General features: G+C 37.2%; 1 pseudogene across 1 annotated transcript; it reads left to right on the forward strand.

The window, feature by feature from the left end:
* Nucleotides 1-348: 348 nt before the first annotated feature.
* On the forward strand, nt 349-21,671 carry FMO9P (flavin containing dimethylaniline monoxygenase 9, pseudogene; annotated as a pseudogene). Its single transcript, NR_002925.2, is given in 7 exon segments — nt 349-417; nt 1,193-1,290; nt 8,893-9,036; nt 17,232-17,420; nt 18,303-18,465; nt 20,077-20,219; nt 21,114-21,671. The product of NR_002925.2 is annotated as a flavin containing dimethylaniline monoxygenase 9, pseudogene (transcript).
* Nucleotides 21,672-23,400: the final 1,729 nt, after the last annotated feature.

Below are 23,400 nucleotides of genomic sequence, written 5' to 3' on the forward strand. Positions count from 1 at the left end.
GAGGCCAAGGTGGGCGGATCACTTGAGGTCAGGAGCACCAGACCAGCCTGGCCAACATGGTGATACCCTGTCTCTCCTAAAAATACAAAAATTAGCCGGGTGTGGTGGTGCACGCCTGTAAACCCAGCTACTTGGGAGACTGAGGCAGGAGAATCACTTGAACCCAGGAGGCGGAAGTTGCAGTGAGCCGAGATCACATCACTGCATTCCAGCCTGGGTGGCAGAGTGAGACTCTGTCTCAAAAAAACAAAAACAACAACAACAAACAAAAAACCAGTTAAGTGAAATGAGGAAATTTCTTTGGTGAAAGAGAAGGCTAGATAAGGTGACAGTTGTCTCAAAGTCATCATACGGAAAACAGAATAGAAGCACAGAACAAGGACTATTGTATATAAGAGAAGCAGGTGTTAATGTAAGGTAAGAAAGAACTTTCTAATAATCAGAGCTTTTTGAAAATGAATATACTGTCTATGAAACAGCAGCAGCCTCATCATGGTGTGTGGTTGAGACTTGATAAACGAAGTGAGCTGTACTGTAAAGAGGATTCCTAAGCTTGTTAAAAAAATGGACTAGATGACTTTTAAATTTCCCTTTCAACTCAAAGATGTGGGTCTAAAATTCTTCCTAGGTTGTAAGTGAGAGCCCAAAATCTAGGTATTTAATAACGACCATTTTTACTTGTTTTATGTTTATGTATTTTGTATAGAAAGGTATATAGATTAAAAACACCATCACTCATAGTTCTCTCACATGAGTTTAATAATTAGTAACAATCTGATATATTTCTTCTGTAATTTTTATCTTATTTTGTTTTCTCATAAAAGTTATATGCCTTAAATGGACATTTTCATTGTCTACACTATAATTTTTCTTAATATTAAATTATCTAAAAAGATACAAAGGTTTTGACTTCTGACTAGTGAATTAATGAGATTGTTTATTTCCCAACATATTTGTTATACTTTTCCCAGCCAATGAAAATGATTTCATTTGAGTGGTCTTTAAAATATGTCAATTAGCATTAAAATGTATTGCAGACCAATATTAGTAGGTAAATTATAAATACCATCACATTAGACATGGTCCCAGCCCATCCCTAAAAGGCTCATGGCAATTTTTTAAATCCAAATTGTAAGACTCATGGGAAGGGATTATACATTAACTAATCTGATAACCTATACATATCTTCAAGTTGCTGTGGAATGACTGTTTTCAAGAAGAGAGAAGGAGCCAATATATCTACTTTCATTAAGAAGCTGAAATTAAATTTGGATTTCCTTCTTTCCAAAGGTTGGTCTCTCATCTTTGCCTTATACTATATATTGTTTTGTGGTGGGAAACGTGGGGATAGGCATTAACATATTTTATCTAATTATAATTACATGATGTAGTATTCTGATTGCCCGACTATGTTAGCAAGTAAAAGAAAAGTAGGGAAGTTTAGAAATTAATTCATTCACTCAAATTTTATTCTGTAGATATTTATTAGCTATAAGTCTCAAATCTCTAGGTGCTTATTATTCAATCAAGATAAGACAGGATAATAACTAATAAAATGATATGGGAAATGCAATGATAGAGATGTATGCAAAACACTGTATGGTCACCAAGATGGTTGGGCTTAATGATGCCTGAGAAGTTTGGGGAAGGTTTTACATAGGAAATAACCAAGAGAAAGGGGAGGTCACTTCTGCAGTGTAAACAGCATTTTCAACAAATGACATTTTCATGAAGAAACGGCATGAGTTTACAAAGTCACTACAAATGATTCAGCAAGATTGAAGCACTGTTCGCATGTTGAAGGGGGCCAGCCCCTCCACACCTGTGGGTATTTCTCATCAGATGGGACGAGAGACTGACAAAAGAAATAAGACACAGAGACAAAGTATAGAGAAAGAAAAGTGGGCCCAGGGGACTGGCGCTCAGCATACGGAGGACCCGCACTGGCACCGGTCTCTGAGTTCCCTCAGTATTTACTGATTACTATTCTCACTATCTCGGCAAGAGGAATGCAGCAGGCGAACAGGGTAACAGTGGGGAGAAGGTCAGCAAGAAAACATGTGAGCAAAGGAATCTGTGTCACAAATAAGTTTAAGGGAAGGTACTATGCCTGGATGTGCACATAGGCCAGATTTATGCTTCTCTCCACTCAAACATCTCAGTGGAGTAAAGAGTAACAGAGCAGCATTGCTGCCGGCATGTCTCGCCTCCCTCCACAGGGCGGTTTTTCTCCTGTCTCAGAATTGGACAAATGTACAATCAGGTTTTATACCGAGACATTCTGTTCCCGGGGCAGGCAGGAGACAGAGGCCTTCCTCTTATCTCAACTGCAAGAGACCTTCCTCTTTTACTAATCCTCCTCAGCACAGACCCTTCATAGGTGTCAGGCTGGGGGATGATCAGGTCTTTCCCATCCCACAATATCTCAGGCTATCTCAGGGAGAAGAAACCTTGGACAATACCTGGCTTTCCAGGGCAGAGGTCCCTGTGGCTTTCCACAGTGCATTGTGCCCCTGGTTTATCGAGAATGGAGAATGGCGATGACTTTTACCAAGCATACTGCCTGTAACATATGGTTAACAAGGCACATCCTGCACAGCCCTAGATCCCTTAAACCTTGATTCCATAAACACATGTTTCTGTGAGCTCAAGGTTGGGGCAAAGTTACAGATTAACAGCATCTCAGGGCAAAACAATTGTTCAGGGTACAGATCAAAATGGAGTTTCTTATGTCTTCCTTTTCTACATAGACACAGTAACAGTCTGATCTCTCTTTCTTTCCCCTACATATCCCCCTTTTCTTTTTGACAGAACTGCCATAGTCATCATGGCCCATTCTCTTTGGTCTCTGTCTCTTCAGAGCTGTTGGATACACCTGTAGACTAACAACAGACAGAACAGGCATACAAGGATTAATACACAATGTACAATAGTGGAACTTTTGATAGTTTTAACCCAAGTGATGGGGTTAAGATTTGTAAGGCCATCAGTAGCCTTTACGATTGCCTCAGTTCCTGGCACCAAATTTAAATGGGCTTTCGATGCCTCAAAAATTTGTTCTTTTAATTTTGAAATATCTAAAGTAAGATTACCTTCTCTTCCTTGTAGATGGCATCTAATCATGTCCCAGTGATGCTCAGACTCATTATAGGCTTGGGGTGTAATACAAAAATCTGATGTATTCCAGTGACACTGTAACTGAAAAAGATATTCCAAGCTCATGAGCCTATCTCCTATCCAAATGACAGTTTGTATAAGATCATTAATTTGGTTTGCCAATTTTTGATCTATTTGGGTCTCAGAGTTCCACAATTCTGAGTAGCTGTGACTGCAATAAGACCCATATTCACTGCAATCACAGTAAAAATGAATCTTTTGGATCTAGTTAGAATTCCTTTTAATACTTCTGTTAACATATGGACAGATGGCGAAGCCTCCCACGGTCAGTCCATGGACACAGGGATCCACACACCCTCTCTTGCCCTCACTAGCAGAATATGGTGCTGCCAATTAAAAGTCGAATTAATGCAAGTAAACAATCTACAATTTTCACAGGTTATAGTTTGGTAATCTGGTTTAATCTATGTTTCCTACAACTAGCATATAAGGGGGTTCTACACAACTTTGCAAAGGAATTGTCAGATTGGAATCTAGGTTGATAGTATAATATGGCTTATGATTCTTTGTTCCTATAGTTGATTTCCAGACCAAATTCTAATATGGTGCGAGGCCACAGTAAGCTTCCATAATTCCGGATGTTCAGGACCAGTAACAGGACTAACTAACTTTGGTCAAGATGGTGAAATTCCCTTTTCACCCCATTTCCATGGATAGGGTGATTCTAACCTTCTATAAACCTGGTCCAGCCTTTTAGTTAAATCACTATCAAAGGCAGGATTAATGGGCCAGACGGATGGGGCCTGTGAATATGAGTAGGTCTGGCCTGTACAATCATAATATAATTGGCCTCGAGGGGCCCAGTCTATAATAGTTCCAAATTCATTGTTTTGTAATACGACCGCAGTATCAGCCACACATTCTTCCCGAACTAAGACTTCTGGGTCTTTTGATTCTTTGGGAATTTCCTTGGGGCATGGCTTCCCTTTGGCCCAAAGCTCATTTTAACGATCTTTGATAAGAAGAGTCTTGTAAATTATTTATCTGTGGCCTGAGTGACATTCCACTTACCATGTGATAAGTAAATCTACTGGTGCACTGACAGTAGGTACTTCTACCAACCAATTTTGGGTTGTAGGCATTAAACAACCTGGTGCCTTCCCTAGGCAAATAGGAGGATAATTATACCCAATGGAAATATTTATCATCATTCCTTCTTCTTCAGGTTGGGCAGGGCAGCAATCATCTGTGGGGCCTGGTACCCATGCAGTATTATTAACATATACTTCAATGATTATCCATCCATATGACTGCCCAAATTAAGAGCAGGAAAGGCACATAGGCCCAGTAAGTATAATTAGCTGCAGCTGCTCCTGCAGACATGGGGAGACTTACCACGGTAGATACAATCATCAAAACTGCAAGCAGCATATTCTCTGGAGTTTGTGTTACCCTTGTTTTCTTCAGGCTTTTTTCAGCTAACTGTGTCAGCTTCTTTAGTTGGGCCCAGGTCGGCAGCTCCGCTTCCTTTGTGGATGGCAACTTCATCTGTTCTTCTGATATCACCATTTTGTTCACCTGGCGAGTCGATGATGCTCGATTGCAGGTTTTCTGTCTCTGCGGAGGCACTTTTCTTTGCATCTCTGATGGGTTCATTGTAGAACTTTAAATGTCTAGTGGGTATCCAAACAGGAAGCTGATTTTCTCCTGGTGAAACACAAGCAAAGCCTCTCCCCCATGTTATCATCTTTCCTATTTCCCAAGTCTTATTTTTGTTGTCTTTCCACCAAATCAGTTTTCCTTCATGTGGGCTGTTCTTTTTACCAGTAAAATGTTGTTCTGCGGAAGTAGTGGTCTGATTTCTATAAATGTTTAAAAAATTTAAAGTATAGAGTGCTAGATTAAGTTGCATCTGGGAAGGGTTGTAGTCCTCACTGTCTTTTTCCTTTTTTGGTTAACCAATTGAGCTTTGAGTGTTCTACTAGTTCTTTCAATTATGGCCTGTCCTTGAGAATTATAGGGGATTCCTGTTGTATGTGTAATTTTCCACTGATTTAAGAATTTTTGAAATGTTCTACTACAGTATCCTGGCCCATTATCCGTTTTAATTTTTTCTGGAATTCCCATGACAGCAAAACAAGATAATAAATGTCTTTTAACATGGGAAGTACTTTCTCCTGTCTGGCAGGTGGCCCATAAAAAATGTGAATAAGTATCAACTGTCACATGGACAAATGACAATTTTCCAAATGAAGGTACATGTGTGATTCCATTTGCTATAATGCATTAGGACACAGACCTCTGGGATTAACTCCTGCCTCCTGAGTGGGCAGGTGTAGAACTTGACACTGGGTGCAGTGTTGTACAATATTTTTTGCCTGTTTCCATGTGATATCAAATTTATTTTTAATCATGTTGCATTTACATGAGTCAAGGCATGAAGTTCCTGTGCCTCCAGGAATGCAGATGATACTAGCAAGTCAGCTTGTTCATTTGTTTTAGTTAAAGGCCCTGGTAAATTAGTATGTGGTCGAATATGAGTAATATAAAATGGGAAATTTCTTTTTCTTACAGTTTGTTGTAACAAGTTAAACAGCTGGTTTAACAGATCATCTACACCATATTTGATTAGGGCTGTCTCAACATCCTTTGTAGCCTGTACTACATATGCAGAATCTGATACAATGTTAATAGGCTGATTAAAATTTTGTAACACTGAATTGACAACAACAACTCTGCTCTTTGAGCCGAGTGACATTGAGTTTCAAGGACTCGTTCTTTTGGCCTGGTGTAAGTTGCTTTTTCATTGCTGGAACCATCAGTAAATACCGTCAGAGCATTTTCTAAAGGTTTATGTCTGGCATTTTTAGGTAAAATCCAAGTAGTCAATTTTTAAAACTGGAAGATTTTTGTTTTTGGGTAATGACTGTCAATAATTCTCACAAAATCAGCAAGATCAATCTTCCATGCACCAGAATTGATAAAGGCTTGTCTAACCTGTTCCTTGTTTAAAGGAACAATGATTTTATCTGGGTCACTTCCACACAATTTTATTATTCGTAATCTTGTCTGACCAGTTAATGTAGCCATTTGATCTAAGTACAATGTAAAAGTCTTAATTGTACTATGAAGAAGGAATGACCACTCCACAAAATCCATTGGAACAATAATGCCTGTTGGCAAATGTGCAGTAGCAAAAATCAAAAGTTGGAGTGGGACTAAGTGATCTATTCTATTTACTTGTGCTGACAGTGGACATACCCGGGAATCTCTCATCCACTGTCCTCAATGCTCACGTTCTTAGCGTAACTTCACCTTGGAGAAAGGCACCCATGTTGGGCGGCGGGTGAAGGGGGCCAGCCCGTCCACACCTGTGGGTATTTCTCGTCACGCGGGACAAGAGACTGAGAAAATAAATAAGATACGGAGACAAAGTATAGAGAAAGAAAAGTGGGCCTAGGGGACTGGCACTCAGCATACGGAGGACCTGCACTGGCACCGGTCTCTGAGTTCCCTCAGTATTTACTGATTACTATTTTCACTATCTCAGCAAGAGGAATGTGGCAGGAGAACAGGGTGACAGTGGGGAGAAGGTCAGCAAGAAAACATGTGAGCAAAGGAATCTGTGTCACAAATAAGCTCAAGGGAAAGTACTATGCCTGGATGTGCACATAGGCCAGATTTATGCTTCTCCACACCCAAACATCTCAGTGGAGTAAAGAGTAATAGAGCAGCATTGCTGCCAGCATGTCTCACCTCCCTCCACAGGGATTCTCCTATCTCAGAATTGAACAAATGTACAATCGGGTTTTATACCAAGACGTTCCATTCCCGGGGCAGGCAGGAGACAGAGGCCTTCCTCTTATCTCAACTGCAAGAGGCCTTCCTCTTTTACTAATCCTCCTCAGCACAAACCCTTCATAGGTGTCGAGCTGGGGGTGGTCAGGTCTTTCCCATCCCACGAGGCCATATCTCAGGCTATCTCAGCAGGGAGAAACCTTGGACAGTACCCGGCTTTCCGGGGCAGAGGTCCCTGTGGCTTTCCGCAGTGCATTGTGCCCCTGGTTTATCGAGAATGGAGAATGGCGATGACTTTTACCAAGCATACTGCCTGTAAACATATGGTTAACAAGGCACATCCTGCACAGCCCTAGATCTCTTAAGCCTTGATTCCATAAACACATGTTTCTGTGAGCTCAAGGTTGGGGCAAAGTTACAGATTAACAGCATCTCAGGGCAAAACAATTGTTCAGGGTACAGATCAAAATGGAGTATCTTATGTCTTCCTTTTCTACTCAGACACGGTAATAGTCTGATCTCTGTTTCTTTTCCCTACAGCATGTATCTTAAACTCAGCAGTTGCAATGTAGTGTCTTTAACTTTATCTGCACCACCCTCTTCTCCCTTTAGGTTGAGGCCTTGAGGTCTAGAACCGTGTCATATTCTTCTCTGTGGCCTCAGCAACAAGCACAGTACCTGGTCCACTGTTAGGAGTCAATAAGTGTTTGTTGAACAAATAAATAAGGAGTAAATGAATGAATGTACAATCTATGGCTTAGAGATACTAAGTTTTGGTATTTTTATAATAATTTTGAATATATAGTTTTAAAGAAATTTCTGTTATTTCAGTCAGCTTTTATCAGATCATTAAATAAGAGAGAAAAAAATCAATATGTTGGATTTACTTTGCTTTCATAGGCTTTTCTACAGTGTAATTACTGGTCAGTGTGTCTACTTAATCTGGTCTTATTTTCTTCTCAAACTATTGTAAGACGGCTTCTACCCTCCTACTCCACTGAAACTTCTCTCTCTCTCTTTCTCTCTCTCTCCTTCTTTTTAGAGACAGGGTCTCATTCTGTCGCCCAGGCTGGAGTGCAGTGGTACAATCATGGCTCAATGTAGCCTCAAACTCCTAGGCTCAAGCTATCCCACCACTTCAACCTCCCAAGCAGCTAGGACTACAGATGTGCACCACCATGCCCAGCTCAATTTAAAAATGTTTTTGAGAGATGGGGTCTCTCTATGTTGCTCAAGCTGGTCTTGAACTCCTGGCCTCAAGTGATCCTCTCACATGGGCCTCCAAAAGTATTGAAATTACAGGCATGAGCCACCACACCCAGCACACTGAAACTTCTCTAGCAAGGATCACAAATGGACACAACCTTCGTACATCTAATGGATGTCCTTATCTCACTGAACTTCTTATGTTTCTCCATATTCTTCTGCATTTATCACTTCTGGCTTCACTCATGTTGTCTCTGCTACCTGGAATGTCACACGATCCACACACATGCACACACACATGCACATGTGCGAGCATACACACACACACACACACACACACACACACACACACACACACACACACCTCCCTTCCTGGCCTCTTACCTAGCTGATTCCTAGTCATTCATCCTTAGGTTTTTGTACTGTGTCACTTCCGCAGCAGGTCAGATATTCCTTCCTTGTGCTGCCTGCTCATAGCACACAGGGTATGATGGTACTATTACATTTATCACATAGCCTGAAAATTATATGTTTGCATTTCTCTCTCTGACTATACCGAGAAATTTGGTGGGAGGAAGGAATATTTATTTCTGTATACTTTTGTGTCCCTATACCTATCATAGTCCCTGATTGGTAATCAACATACTGGTGTTCTCATTGTTAATAAGAATAGTGAAAATTTAGGGCAACAGACTGAAGGTCCTTGTGACAAGTAATTTTTTTTAAATGGGATGGATGACAGTGACAGAGCTCTAAATTTCTACTAACCAGCTGAGACACAATGGCCAAAAAGCGATTGCTGTGATTGGAGCTGGAATTAGCGGACTGGGGGCCATCAAGTGCTGCCTGGATGAAGATCTGGAGCCCACCTGCTTTGAAAGAAATGATGATATTGGACATCTCTGGAAATTTCAAGTAAGTTTAGATTTCATTTGGTTTTAGGCATGTAACTTTAAAAAAAAATAGCTAGAACAATTTGATGCTGGTTTCCTCAGAGGAAACATACAGCACATCACATATTAGGAATTATGTAATGACTCTAATATTCTTGCTTATATTATGGATTAACTGAGGAATTATATGAATATATGTCAATTTCAGATTAAGCCATGAAATTTATCAGATTCTCTTCAGGGTAGCTGAGATTCCATGTGGTCATCAAAAATATTAGAAAGATATAGTGGTTGAGGATTCTTTCAACTGATCAGATGATATTGTGCTCAAAGTTAGAGATGTCACACTATTTTTTCCCCTGACTTAGCATGGGTATAGGGTAGGGTAGGATGATCTATTGCTGGGCTTCTCCCATGTAATCTCATCTTCTCTTCTGTGGTCACACCTGCTGACTGACTGGCCACTGCATGGTATCTTATCTTGTCAATCAGAGGGCAATGACTTTTTATTTCTCTCAGTTCTTGGCAGCAGGAGATTTATTGCCATGAGGAATTCAAACTTGGTGCCAAACGTTGAATAGGCTTAAGTTCCTGGGTGGTCTCATCTTCTTTTGGTGCTTCATTCTGCCATCTTTGGAAGTGCCCTTGAAGTCCAGCACTTCTGGTCAGTATTTTCCAGTTCTGATAATACCAGAGAGCCACTCTGCTCACCAGTCATGGCTGGCTTTCTCACGGGGTGTGCATGAATGAGCAGATTTCGTTCTCTTGCTCCTGGCTCTTGTGCCCACCCAGGCCATGTTTCAAGAGCCAGAACACTCTCCATCCAGAATGTGGAGAGTGGGCTTGAGGCAAAGTTATCAACATTGCTGCCCCACAGGGACTTTCCTCAGGTGCCACTAGAGCAAATCAGTGCCCAAGCAGCATTCAGATAGACCCTCCAACCTGATGTTAGGGTCATTCAAATATTCCTCCATTCCTCCATAACCTTTGGATTTTCTTGTGTGTGGCTTTAATTGACCTTCAGTTCTAAAAGTCCTATAATACCCATTTTGTTTCTTCTTTAAGAGTGCATTCATTCAACAAATATTTTTTGGGCCCTACTATGTGTCAGAAACTTTTCTAGGTGCCAGGAAATATATTAGTAAATATGAATACAAAAATCCTTGCCCTTAAAAGGTTTACATTCTAATGGGAAAGGATAATTAAATTAAAAAGTAGCATGGTTAGTGCTGGTAAGTATAATAGAGAAAAATAAACCAGGAAATGAGAGTTTCACGAATATAAATTAAATAAGTGGTCATGAAAAGCCTCAAAATGATTTTTGACAAAGAATTGTAAAGTAAGAAAGAAAGCTGAGAAGAGATCTGGGGAAGGGGATTCAGAGGAATCTTCAAGTGCAGAGCTGTGAGGTGGGAGCATGCCTTGTATGTTAGAGAAAAGTCAGGGAGCCAGTGGGTCTAGACCGTAGTGGCCCAGAGGAAGAAGTCTAGGAGGTGGTCAGAAGGGGAATGGGAGTCCAGATCATATTGGCATTTAGAGGCCATGATAAGGACTTTGACTTCCATATAGATTAAAACCATGAGATGGTTTTAAATAAAGGAGCAATGTTCTACAGCTTGTGTTTTAATTATAAAAGACAACCCTGATTGCTCTGTTGAGAATAAAACAAAGAAACGCTAAAGAAAATTGTCCAGTTTGAAAGCTACTCAATAATATTCCAATGGGAGATCACAGCAAACTGTACCAGGTTTCTAGATACATGGATTTTTAAAAAATATTTTATAATTTCTTATATGTTGACTTTTTTCTATTTCTTTTTGAATGTTTATCATATATTTAAAAAAGGTTTGTGTCTATTATATCTTCTTAGTGGATAGTTCCTTTTATCCATATGAAATATCTTTTTGTTCCTTTTACCTTTAATTATATTGTGTGCTATTAATCACAGGTATGCATGAATTTAAAATTAAAAGTAAAATTAAAATATTACTAAAGTAGATATTTTTGTTATAACTTGATAAGCATATTTTTCCATCACTTAATTTTCAATTTTACTTCATTTTATTTTAGGTTTGCCTGCATAAAATCTGATTTTACTTTATTGTTCAATGTAAAACCTTCTATCTTTCTTATTTTAAAAATTGTGCTGAGGTGTAATGTATGCATTAAAATACATAAAGTAAGCTGATCTTATGTGTACAGCTTGATAATTCTTACATATTTATATATCTATACAACTACTGCTTAAGTAAGATATAGACTATATCCAGAATCTTAAAATAGTTCCGTGTGTTTCTTCCTAGTCAATACTTAGCCATTCCCAGAATAACCACTATTTTGATGTCTATCACCATTAATTACTCCTGATTGTCTTTGAAATAATGCATTTATACTATTTTTTGTATTTTTTTGACTTTTAATGTATGTGGTTGAGATTTATTCAAATCGTGTATGTAGCAGTAGTTTATTTTTCTATTTACCATTAATGTGTAGTATTCCAGTATATGAAAACACTGCAATTTATTCACTTAGTCTCCTGTTGATAAAATTTTGTGTCTGGTTTCTTTCACCCATCATTTGTGTATGTCAAATGTATTCATTATATGAGAATAGCTTTAATTCATCTAAAAACTTTAATTGTTGCATAGTATTCCATTGTTTGAATATACCACAATGTATTTACTCTTTCTTTTTTGGTAGAAATTTGGGTTGTTTTTACTATTTGGCAATTGTGAAAATTCTTGCACATGCCTTTTGGTGGATACGAATTTATTTCTTTTGGGAATATTCCTAGGAGTAAAATACTGGCTCAAAGTTTAAGCATCAGTAGATATTGCCAAGCAGTGTTCTAAAATGAATGTATCAATTTACATTTCCACCAATAACGTATGAGAGCTCCACATCCTTCCAAATGCTTAGTATTGTTAGTCTTTTTATTTTGACCATTCTGGTAGATATGGAGTGGTATTGATTGTAGTTTTGCTTTGTATTTCCCTCATGCGTACAGATGCTGAACATCTTGTAATATGCTTATTGGCATAGATATTCTCATTTGTTAAAAATTTGTTCAAGTCTTCTGTCCATTGTCAATCTAATTCGTCTATCTTTTTTCTTTGGTAAGAATTGTTTTTTATATTTTGTATATGAGTCTTTTGTTGCATGCATTTGTTGTGAATATCTCCTAGTATGTGTTATGTGTTTTTATTGTCATAAAGATAGTATAACTTTTGACAGAGGCTCAAGATTTTAATGAAGCCCACTTTATCCAGTTTTTTAATGGTTTGTAATTATTTGTATTATAGATAAGAAACTTTTATTTATCCCAAAGTCCTGAAGATGGTTTCTTGTATTTCCTTCAGAACTGTTATTGCTGTACCTTTAATGTTTGGATTTATGATCCATTTTGAATTACTTTTTGTGTATGGTGAGATATAAGGATCCCGTTCATTTTTCCCACATACGGATATCCAGTGGATATAGCACCATTTATTGAAAAGACCATTATTTCCCCCATTGAGTTACAATAGTGCCTTTTATTTATTCATTCATTTTTGGAAATTTGGTGGCTGTTTATGTGTGAGTTTGTTTCTTAGTCTGTTTCACTGGTCCATGTTTCTATCCATGCATCATTGCTGTATCTTTATAGTAAAGTTTGGTATTTTTGTTTTTCTTCATAAGTATTTTCTTTAATTTTCAAGGATCTCTACATTTTAATATAAGTTTTAGAAATAGCTGTCAATTTCACAAAAATATCTGCTGGAATATTATTTGGGATTGCATTGGCTTTATGGATGTAGTTGGAAAGGATTAAATTTGTAATAATGCTGAGTCATCTCATTTATGTAATAGTATCTCTCTCTATTTATTTATGACTTTTTCACTTCTCTCAGCAATCATGTAGAAGCCTCGCATATCTTTTGTTAGATTATTCTTAAGTATTTGATGTTTTTTATGTTATTGTAAATAACAGCTGTTATGAAATTTCACTTTTCAATTTGTTGCTAGTATATCAAACCATTAATTTTTATGTGAGCCTTGTAACCAGCAACATTGCTAAATTTTGTAATGCTTTGAATGTAGATTATTTTGGATTTGCTATGTACATAATCATGACTTCTATGCTTAATAACAGATTTACTTCTCACTTTCCAATATTTATGACTTTTGTTTCTTTTTGCTCTTTATTGCATTAGCTGGGTCCTTAAGAATAATGTTACATAAAAGTGCTAATAGAAGATATCTTTTTACTCTTCCCAACCTCGCCTAAAAGAAAAACTGCTCAGTATTTTACCAGTAAGCATGATGTTAGCTAAGATTTTTGTAGATTAAGAAAATTTCCATCTATAAATAGTTTATGGAGAGTTTTTTAAAGTCACAAACATATGTTAACATTTATAAAATGATTTTTCTACATCACCTGAGATCAACATCTCAATAATTAGCATTGTTATGTTAGTGCAACACATTTTATAGATTAATATTCACATGATAAAATAAATTTTTGTCTTCAGAAAAACCTACTTGATCATTTGAAAATATTTTTAGTCATTGCTAGATTACATTGCTAGATTAATTTTTTTCTGATATTTCTAACTTGCTAAAATATAATTTTCATCAATGTTTATGAGACCTTGTATTATAATTTTCCCCTCTTATAATGCCTATGTCAGGTTTGATATCAAGGTCATTCTAACTCAAGATTATGAAATGAGTTGAGAAATGTTTCTGCTTTTTCTATTTTCTTAAATAATTTCTGTACTATTGGCATTATTTTATTTTCTTTAAATGTTTGGAAGAATTCAATACTGAAGCTATCTGAGCCAGTTTTCTTTGTAAGAAGCTTTTTAATGACAAATTCAACAGATACAAGGATTTCAGATTTTCTTTTTCTTTTCATGTCAGATTGGTAAGTATTGTTTTTCAAGGAATTTGTCCTTTTTTCTAAGTCAACAGTTTGAGGGATATTATTCATAATAACCTCTTAAAATATTTTTTATTATGTTTAGATTCTATAGTGTTATTTTATTTTTATTCCTAATATTGACAATTTATGTTTTCTCTTTTTGGGGGTAGTTAATCTTGCTAGGGATTTATTAATTTTCTTAATCCTCTAAAATAACAAACAATATCATGCCATGTACTGCTCATTTAATTTATATTTCAATGATTTCAGCTTATATTTTTATTATTTTCTTTTTCTTCATTTTTATGTTTATTTTATTGTATATCTAGGTTGTTTTTTAAAAAAATTATTTTAGGTTCAGCAGTACATGTGCATGCTTGTTATATAGGTAAATTGCATGTCACAGGGATTTGGTATACAGATTATTACTTTTACTTGTGTGTTGGTGGGGGAAGGGTGGCTCTCTGCTGGAGTTCTCCTATAGTTGGATGCAGGCAGCCCAAGAAGGAGCTATGATGAAAGACCTGGGAAGCACCCTAGCTGGGCATCCATGGTTGCACTGCCAGCGGGTGCAGCCAGGCTGGGACCCCAGGTGAGGCCAGCAGATGGGGTACTCAGATCAGACTGTCCTGATCCTACAGGCAAGACCACCCTGCTCTGTCCAAGTCCAATGTCACACTAAAGCTAAAGTCTCCTAGAAGAACACAGTGAGCCTTGGGAGATGGGTGCTCCAGCCATGCTCCACTATGCCTAACCCTCTGGGCTCTGAATTTGCTTGAGTCCTGCCCCACCACCTCTGTAAGCAGCTTTTCCTGTCAGCTCAAGTGTCCATGGGAGGTATGGGGTCTCTTGCTGCTAGGATTACAGAAGTCTACAGTAAGAGCAGGTCACCTGTTCAACTCACCCCTTTCCCAGGAGTTGCTGGGGGTTAGGAATGAGTCCTGGTGCTCAGCTGCCTCATGCAGGCTTCTCAGCTTCCTCCCTCTTCAGGCCAGCACCTGCGTCCTCCCTCCATCCACTCTCATTTCTTCCTTCTGAAGATCTGCTCTGAGTGTGCCAGTCCTCCCATGTCCTAGTCTCTTGGAGGGAGATGTGTTTCCTGGCTGTGTCTAGTTGACTATCTTAAATTCCACTGATAATTCTTGCAGCTCCACCAGAGGGGAAGCGTGAAGTCGGGGGATCTTTCAATGGGCCCCTGCTGGTACCTTAGATCTGGGTTCAGGCAACTCCTTCGGGAGTTCTGAGTCTTCTCTGAGACACCTGTGTAGGGCACCAATTATCGTCGACAAAAAACGTCAAAATTTATCTTTACTGATTCACCTTCCTGTCAGCTTCCATGGGTTCAGCTCTCTGGGAGCTCCTATCTAGCTTCTTGATTTGGAGCTTAGCTATTTCATTTACAGCTTTTTCTTCTTATCTAACATATGCATTTAATCTATACATTTTTCTCTAATCACTGTTTTGTTTCATCCACAAGTTTGATGCATTATCTTTTCATTATTTTTCAGTTCAAAACATTTTCTCATGTCCTTGTAATATAGTCTCTGACCCCAAGGTTATTTAGATGTGTTAATTTCTAAACAATTGGAGAGTTTCTGGTTATTTTTTTCTCATTAATTTCTAATTTAATTCCACTGTTATTGAAGAACATACTGTGACTTTATTTTATTTTACTTTTATTTTTTATTGTTTTGAGACAGAGTCTCACTCTGTCACCTAGGCTGGAGTGCAATGGCACAATCTCAGCTCACTGCAACCTCTGCCTCCTGGGTTCAAGCAACTTTCCTGCCTCAGCCTTCCGAGTAGCTGGGACTAAAGGCGTGCGCCACCATACCCAGCTAATTTTTGTATTTTTAGTAGAGACGGGGCTTCACCGTGTTGGCCAGGCTGGTCTCCAACTCCTCATCTCAAGTGATCCACCTGCCTCGGCCTCCCAAAGTGCTGGGATTACAGGCATGAGCCACCGCACCTGGCCTCATACTCTGACTTTAATCTTTTAAAATTTATTTAGACTTTTTAAGTGTCCCAACACAGGCCTATATTGGAAAATATGTTATAGGTACCTCAAAAGAATGTGTAAATTTGTAGCGTTTATTTGTCCATATATATCAATTAAGTTGTTTAATTATGTTCTTCAATATTCTATGCCTTTACCAAATTTTGTTCTATTGTTCTATTAGTTAGTGAGATGAGTTTAATTCTCCAGCTATGAATATGAGTTTATGAGTTTCTCCTAGAAAAACTTTGTATATTAGTTTCTCCTTTTGATTCTGTTAATTTTTACCTTACATATTTTGAAATTATGTTACTAGGTGCATTTGAATTTAAGATTTTAATATCTTCCTGTAGAATTGACCTTTATATTGTTATTATTTCTTTCTCTTTATCTCTAATATTTCCACGATATCTAATTTGTCTAATGTAGCCACTCCAGTTGCCTTTAGTTTTTTGTAAATAAAATAAAGAGGCTTTTGTCTGGTATTTTATTTTTTGTTTTAATTGGAGTGCTTACATATAATCAAGCATTAATATATTGGGTTTTAATTTACTATCTGGTATGCTTTTGATTTGTTTTATATCTTTCTTTCTTTACTCTTCATTTCCTTCTTTCTTTTGGTTTTACTCATTTTTTTGTACATTAATTATTTAGATATCCATTTTTGAATTATCCTTTTTAATTTTAATGCATATCCTTGACTTATTACTTTCTACCTGAAGAAGGCAAAGCTCTTATAACAGTTTAGCCTCATTTTCTGACCTTTGTGTTATTATGTATTTTACTTGAATATTTTATAAACCCCACAAGATATTACTGTTACTAATGTTTTAGTCAATATTTTTATGTTTATCCACATATTTATGATTCCTAGTGTTTTCATTTCTTCCTGTATTTGCATGGTTCCATCTTTGTTCATTCCCATTTAGCCTGAGGAACTTCCTTGCATGTTTCTCATAGTGTGGGATTGCTGGCAAGAAATTCTCTCAGTTTTTGTTTGTCTGAATGCAGGTTTATTTCACTTTCAATTTTGATGGATATTTTCACTGGGTATTGAAGTTTATTTCAGCATTTTAAAGATAACATTCCAGTTTTTCTGACTTCTATCATTTCCATTGAGCAATCAAGCATAAGCCTATTGTTGATTCAGAGTAGCTTTTTTCTCTAGTAGATATGGACAGAAGAGAGAAAATATTCATGGAAAAGTAAAAGGCAATGTTATTTATTATACCCGATTACTTTTCTTCTCTAAAATATTTTATTTAGATTCCCTTGTTATTGTAAAGCTTATTTTATTAAGAGAAGCTTTCTTCTATAGAAAAATACTTCAGAGAAAATGCCTAGTATCTACAAATCTGTGACCATCAATACTTCCAAGGAGATGATGTGCTTCAGTGACTTCCCTGTCCCTGATCATTTTCCCAACTACATGCACAACTCCAAACTCATGGACTACTTCGGGATGTATGCCACACACTTTGGCCTCCTGAATTACATTCGTTTTAAGGTAAAATCTAAATGAATCATTGCATAGTAAATGTGTGTGTGCATGTGAGCACACATGCATGTATGTGTGCAGACACACTCAGTTGTACACACATGAGCTATATTTGGCATCTTCAGGTATGATCAGAGGAAGAGATCATCAGTGAGCTTCCACCCTAGAAAATCACCACTTATAAAGAAGTAATGTTTTGAATATTTCACTTGAATATAAGGTTGAAGAATTTTGCCCAACAGAACCTATTCTAACAAGACTTTGGTGTGGCATTGTAAGGGTCCTTTCTGTCAGCCTTAAATTCAACTGTTGAAGGACTTACAATAGTGGCAGTAGTAATTGAGCCATATTATATTGTGTGTAAGTAGAATAAGAATGAAGGTCATATAAACAACACAAGGAAGACTTTTTTCAGATCCATGTAGTTCCCATAATCTACCACTGTGACCCCCTACTCACACTTAAAAATCTATCTCTATAGTCATGGTGGGATATTAATTCCTGTCTGAAACTCAAAAGCCAAGTGCAGGGAAACTGGAGAAGTTTGTGCTAAAATATGAAAAATATAAGGAATATTAGTCTCTTTCATGTGGAAGTCATCCTGGAAAGATATTTTTCTTGCAGCTTCAGTCACTCCTCTGTTTTTTCCCCATTAAGTATCAACTATTTCTATTTCTATGGAAAATTGGATTTTTAAATAAAATACCCACAATATCTTGAAAATGCACACACGGCAAAGGCAGTCACTATGGGAGTGGGAACTAAAGAGAGAGCAAATGCCTCTGATGAAGATAGAAGAGTCTCAGATAAGTTATATTACTCAGACTTATGGGGTTTTGGGGAGGAGGGATTAAACCTGAGGACTGTGATAGTGTATCATCTTGTTCTCAGACTGAAGTGCAAAGTGTGAGGAAGCACCCAGATTTTTCTATCAATGGACAATGGGATGTTGTTGTGGAGACTGAAGAGAAACAAGAGACTTTGGTCTTTGATGGGGTCTTAGTTTGCAGTGGACACCACACAGATCCCTACTTACCACTTCAGTCCTTCCCAGGTATGTCGCTAAGAATCTGTTTGGTAGAAAAGTACTTTCCAGATAACCCACAGAGCAAAATGATTGAGCATGAACTTTATTACTAGTCTCTGGTCACATTGAATAACAAACAACTAAATGCCCAATATTTCTGTTAACAGGACAAAACTAAACAACAAAAATAGGCAAACACATAACATTTGTTTATTACTTTCTATAGTTTTAAATAGATTCTAATTAATGATAACAATTAGCCCTGGCCCACTTTCAACTGGTTTTAGTTTTGTGTCCATTCATCTTATCTCACTTCCTTTCAGAGAAAGTGAAATTACTAAAAATAAGGGACAAATGGTAAGCAAATCAAGCAAAAAGCTGGCAAATCCACAAACTTAGAAATTTTAGAGTATGAGACAAAATTTTAAATAACATTCATCACTGGTTTGCAGTGGTTGATAAAAACACACTGGCAACTTACTGTTTCCTTTGAATTCTGTTTGATAAAATGGTGCCCATCTCAAATGAGATTATTACTTGAAAAAACAAAACAAAACAAAACAAAACAAAAAAGCTTCCCTATCCCCTCTAACTAAAGCCTCTCCCTTTACTTCTGATCCCTTTCCCCTCCCTTTACATCAATTGCTATCAGAAGTCAATCAAGAAATACTTGATATCTCAGTGCCTTTCCATGATGTCTAACAAGCCATCATAAGAAATTCTTTGGAGGTTGAGGCAAACTGAAAACAGAAGAGTCCTAGATGAAAATCAAGGGACTTAAACTTGAATTTTGGTTGTCCAACTGACTAGCTCAGTCATGTATGACAAATACCTGACCTTTCTGTGTCTGCACACCAACACAAACATTTACAAAATAAAAATACCTGATTTTCTAAATGTTAAAATGCAATATATTCTGGAAATTATTATATAATTATAACAAAATATATAGGTTATATTAATAACTGTAGTATATGTATCAGCTTCTTTTTGACTTGCTTCCTGGCTGAGAGACATACCCTACAGAGACACTTGTGGGACATATATATTTTAATAGGTTTCAGGGGACAGAGATACAAACACGCCTAGAGTGAGACAATGTCCGAGAATGCCAGACACAGATTAGGGCTGTTCTGAAGCTCTCAGCAGAGCCAGGGACAACATGAGGGTATTAGGCACTTGGAAGTCAGAGGAGATGTCAAGTTGATGAAGAAAGGCCCTATACTTCCTCATAGAATAATGAAACAAAACCAAACAACAACCAGTTTCCAGCTTCATCATTTTGCCTAAGACTGCAGAGGACAATGTAATCATGAATAAATTAGATCATAGTGAAATTGTTGTGAAACTTTCAATTTGGAATAGGTCCAAGACAGATAGATCTACTATTTACTAAATACTTTATATGGTCACTAGTCTATATTTAGCATCTATTGGTACTAAGTCTGAGTTTACTCCCTGCTTTCCTGAGCTCTGTGAAATATAAAATTACATTTTTAGGACATAGGGTAATGTTCCATATAGCTAACCCAGACTCAAAGTCTTGCTCTTCCAGATGAACCAGAATATAACTTTCTATGTGTTGAGTTAGCAATGTGAAAAATACTCCTAATAATAAGAAATGTTCTTCCACCACAGGCATTGAGAAATTTGAAGGCTGTTATTTCCATAGTCGGGAATACAAAAGTCCCGAGGACTTTTCAGGGAAAAGAATCATAGTGATCGGCATTGGAAATTCTGGAGTGGATATTGCGGTGGAGCTCAGTCGTGTAGCAAAACAGGTTTGTTTGTTTTGAACAACTTCACTAATGGAAACACAACTTTCACTAGTGGAAATCTCCGCATTTATAGGTGCCATCCAGAATGTAGGTTTAGTCTGTGAAGGACCAGAAAAGAAAGTGAAATCTATGGACCCTGGCCTCAAGGTGTTTAAATTCATGGGGAGCAGAGGATAAATGCAAAATAAATCCTTCATATTCACAGTGGAAAAATACATGTAAACAAATTACTATTAATTGAGCCAGTTCAGTAAAATATTAGCATAGATTAAAGAAAATGTTAGATAATTAATCTGACTTTTTTTTACTGCCATAGCAGTGCCTTAGTCCTGAAATAGAATTCAAATAGTGGTAAAGATGAGAAATTGCAAATCCATCTGGGATCAGCGGGTTTTGGTGGTAGAATTAAAGAACAGAAAACAGAGGAGAATTAATGATGATGATAAATATGTAATTCTCTTGAGCTAAAGTATTATGTTGTATCTACAATGATGAGGGAAGATAAAATACTAAATTTTGCTTTAGACATAGTTTATTTCCTGCAAAACCAAGTTATCTAAGACTTCCATTTATGCTTGATTATTCAATATTCTTTCTTCTCTTAAAAAATTAATAATACTCAGAGTTTATTAAAAAAATGAGATACTTTCACATTCAGGATTGCTGGCCACATTTAATAAAGCCTTAATTAATAAAGCGCCCTACCTATGAGGATGTTCAGATATCCTGATTATCGTTACTTATTTGTCTTTATTTGTCATCATTTATTGTTAGTTTTTAGAAGAAATTACTAAGTGAATTACTGAAGTTTAGTTTATTTTTTAAAAAATTAATAAGCATTTAAAAAGGTAAATGTTTGGTCACTAGCACCCATCTAATCTATCTTGTACTTTACAGATTTGACCAGTAGGAACTGAGATTCAACGTCCCCAAGACTGCAAAAGTACCTACAATCAAACAAATTAATATATTTCCTAATTGGATCAGCATGCAGACAAGTTTACAAATATATTACAGAAAGATTTGAAGAGGGATTCTGGTTACGTTCAGTTAAGCAGGACACTAATCCTGAACAATCTGATGTATTAAAGTTTCTAATGTTTGTATCTTTGGTTTGATGCATACAATAGAGTGGAAGTCTGTAGTAGTTAATATGATGATAATTCGCTTCTAAATTTAAATCCTTATTTATATATGAAGCATAGCTATGTCAATGTCCAGGGAAGCATTTTTAAATAGTAAATCAGAAACATGTAAACTAGTGAATACAATTTTCTATTTTTCATTCAGAAATTTGTTGTCATAGATGCAGCCTTTATCTGGAAATCAGTGGGCAGCTCTGGTCAAGCACAGCATGGCGACCACTGTGTAGTATTTTACCACCTAATCCTTAGTAGCCAACACTGTTAAATCTGCATAATGGGTAGCATATGAATAAAATAATATCTTGTAAAATGTTCTCTTTCTCTCTCCTTCACTGGTTTGCTCTATCTCTGCCTCCCTCATATATTCCTTAGTACTAGACGTGGATCATGGATTTTACACCGTGTTTGGGATAATGGGTATCCCATGGATAGTTCATTTTTCACTCGGTTCAATAGTTTTCTCCAGAAAATACTAACTACACCACAAATAAATAACCAGCTAGAGAAAATAATGAACTCAAGATTTAATCATGCGCACTGTGGCCTGCAGCCTCAGCACAGATGATCACCAAGGGGCCTTACTTTATGCAATTATGTGTATGTGTAAAAGGGAAGTTACCCTAAAGACAGTTCAGCTTCTGGCAATTAACATGTATTTCGGTCAAGTAATCTCATACACTCGCTAATATAAATCACTTATATTATGACGTATATAATATATATCATTGCACCTAAATGGGTCAGACAAGTGTCTGGAGAACAGCTTCAGGAACCTCCAAGATGAGAATGGGAGAGTGGCAGATCTTGGAAAGAACTTGGTGTGGACTTTGGTAAATGTCAAAGTCAGCCCTTCATGAAGAATGCCTGGCACTAGCACTGCACAGGTTAAGAAAAATATGAAGGAGTAGGCTGAGTCCTTCCTGAGGCCAGGAAAGGACTAAAAATGAGGAGACAGGAAGGCCTTCTCTATGTACATCAGCAAGAGAATGCATTACTGGTTTCTATATCTTGGACAGAAAGAAGTAGTCCTCTTCACCTTTTACCGCCTGTAGAACAGCGACCACAAGGAGCATTCTGATAACCAGACATCAGCCCCAATGAGCTATCAAAAATGTACCATCCCATGTAAATGAATCGGTATCCAGAGAAATGATTCAGAACATCAGAGCACATGCCTAGCTAGGCAAATTGAGGAGGAAAAAGAAGTCAACTTGCATTGGAATAGGAAGAGATCTTAAGGGGAATTCAAGTGAAACATGAAATATTATTCAGAGCTTAAGAATATCATTTGGCAACTAAAGACAGGAGTAGATAAATTGAGGGAAAAATGGTTACTGGATAGATTAAGAGAAATTGGAATAGGTGGAGAAGACTTGGTGCTTAAATAAATAATAGAATAATTTTTTTCAGATTGAAAAGAGACCACTGAATTCCAGGATGGATTGTGGACACACATGCACACAAATATACCCGTTCACATACATGTACCATCATGTAGGATTCCTCCATTGCCCCTACTTTTTTCTCTTTCCTGATCAAGAGATATCAGCCAGCTGCATGTTTTCCCTTGCAGGCCTAAACCCAGGCCTGGGCCTTGAACATTTTCAGCCACTGATAAAGGTATTTAGGTTATTGCCCCAAACACCAAAGGATACTAACCCTGGACCTAAGCCAGATTCCTTAAGCTCTCAGATAAATATCATAACCTGACCCTCTCACTGTGGATATACCTAAGCAGAACATCCCTTGTCTTATTGTCCATCACCAGGATACACAGCAGCCTCCTCTGTACATAAGTTCCCCTAGTAAACACTTTGCAATGATCACTCTGGCATTTAGTGCTTCTTTCTTCAGAATCCTAGTCAGTTTCATCTCAGAACAATTTGAAACCCTCCCCTGCAGAAACTCCCAAGCCACCGCTAAAAAATACAAAAGATAGATGATAGATAGATAGATGATAGAGATAGATAGATAGATTAGATAGATAGATGATAGATAGATAGATAGATAGATAGATAGATAGATAGATAGATAGATAG

The sequence above is a fragment of the Homo sapiens genome, chromosome 1 (genome assembly GCF_000001405.40).
Source record: "Homo sapiens chromosome 1, GRCh38.p14 Primary Assembly".
In the NCBI taxonomy this organism is placed as follows: domain Eukaryota; kingdom Metazoa; phylum Chordata; class Mammalia; order Primates; family Hominidae; genus Homo; species Homo sapiens.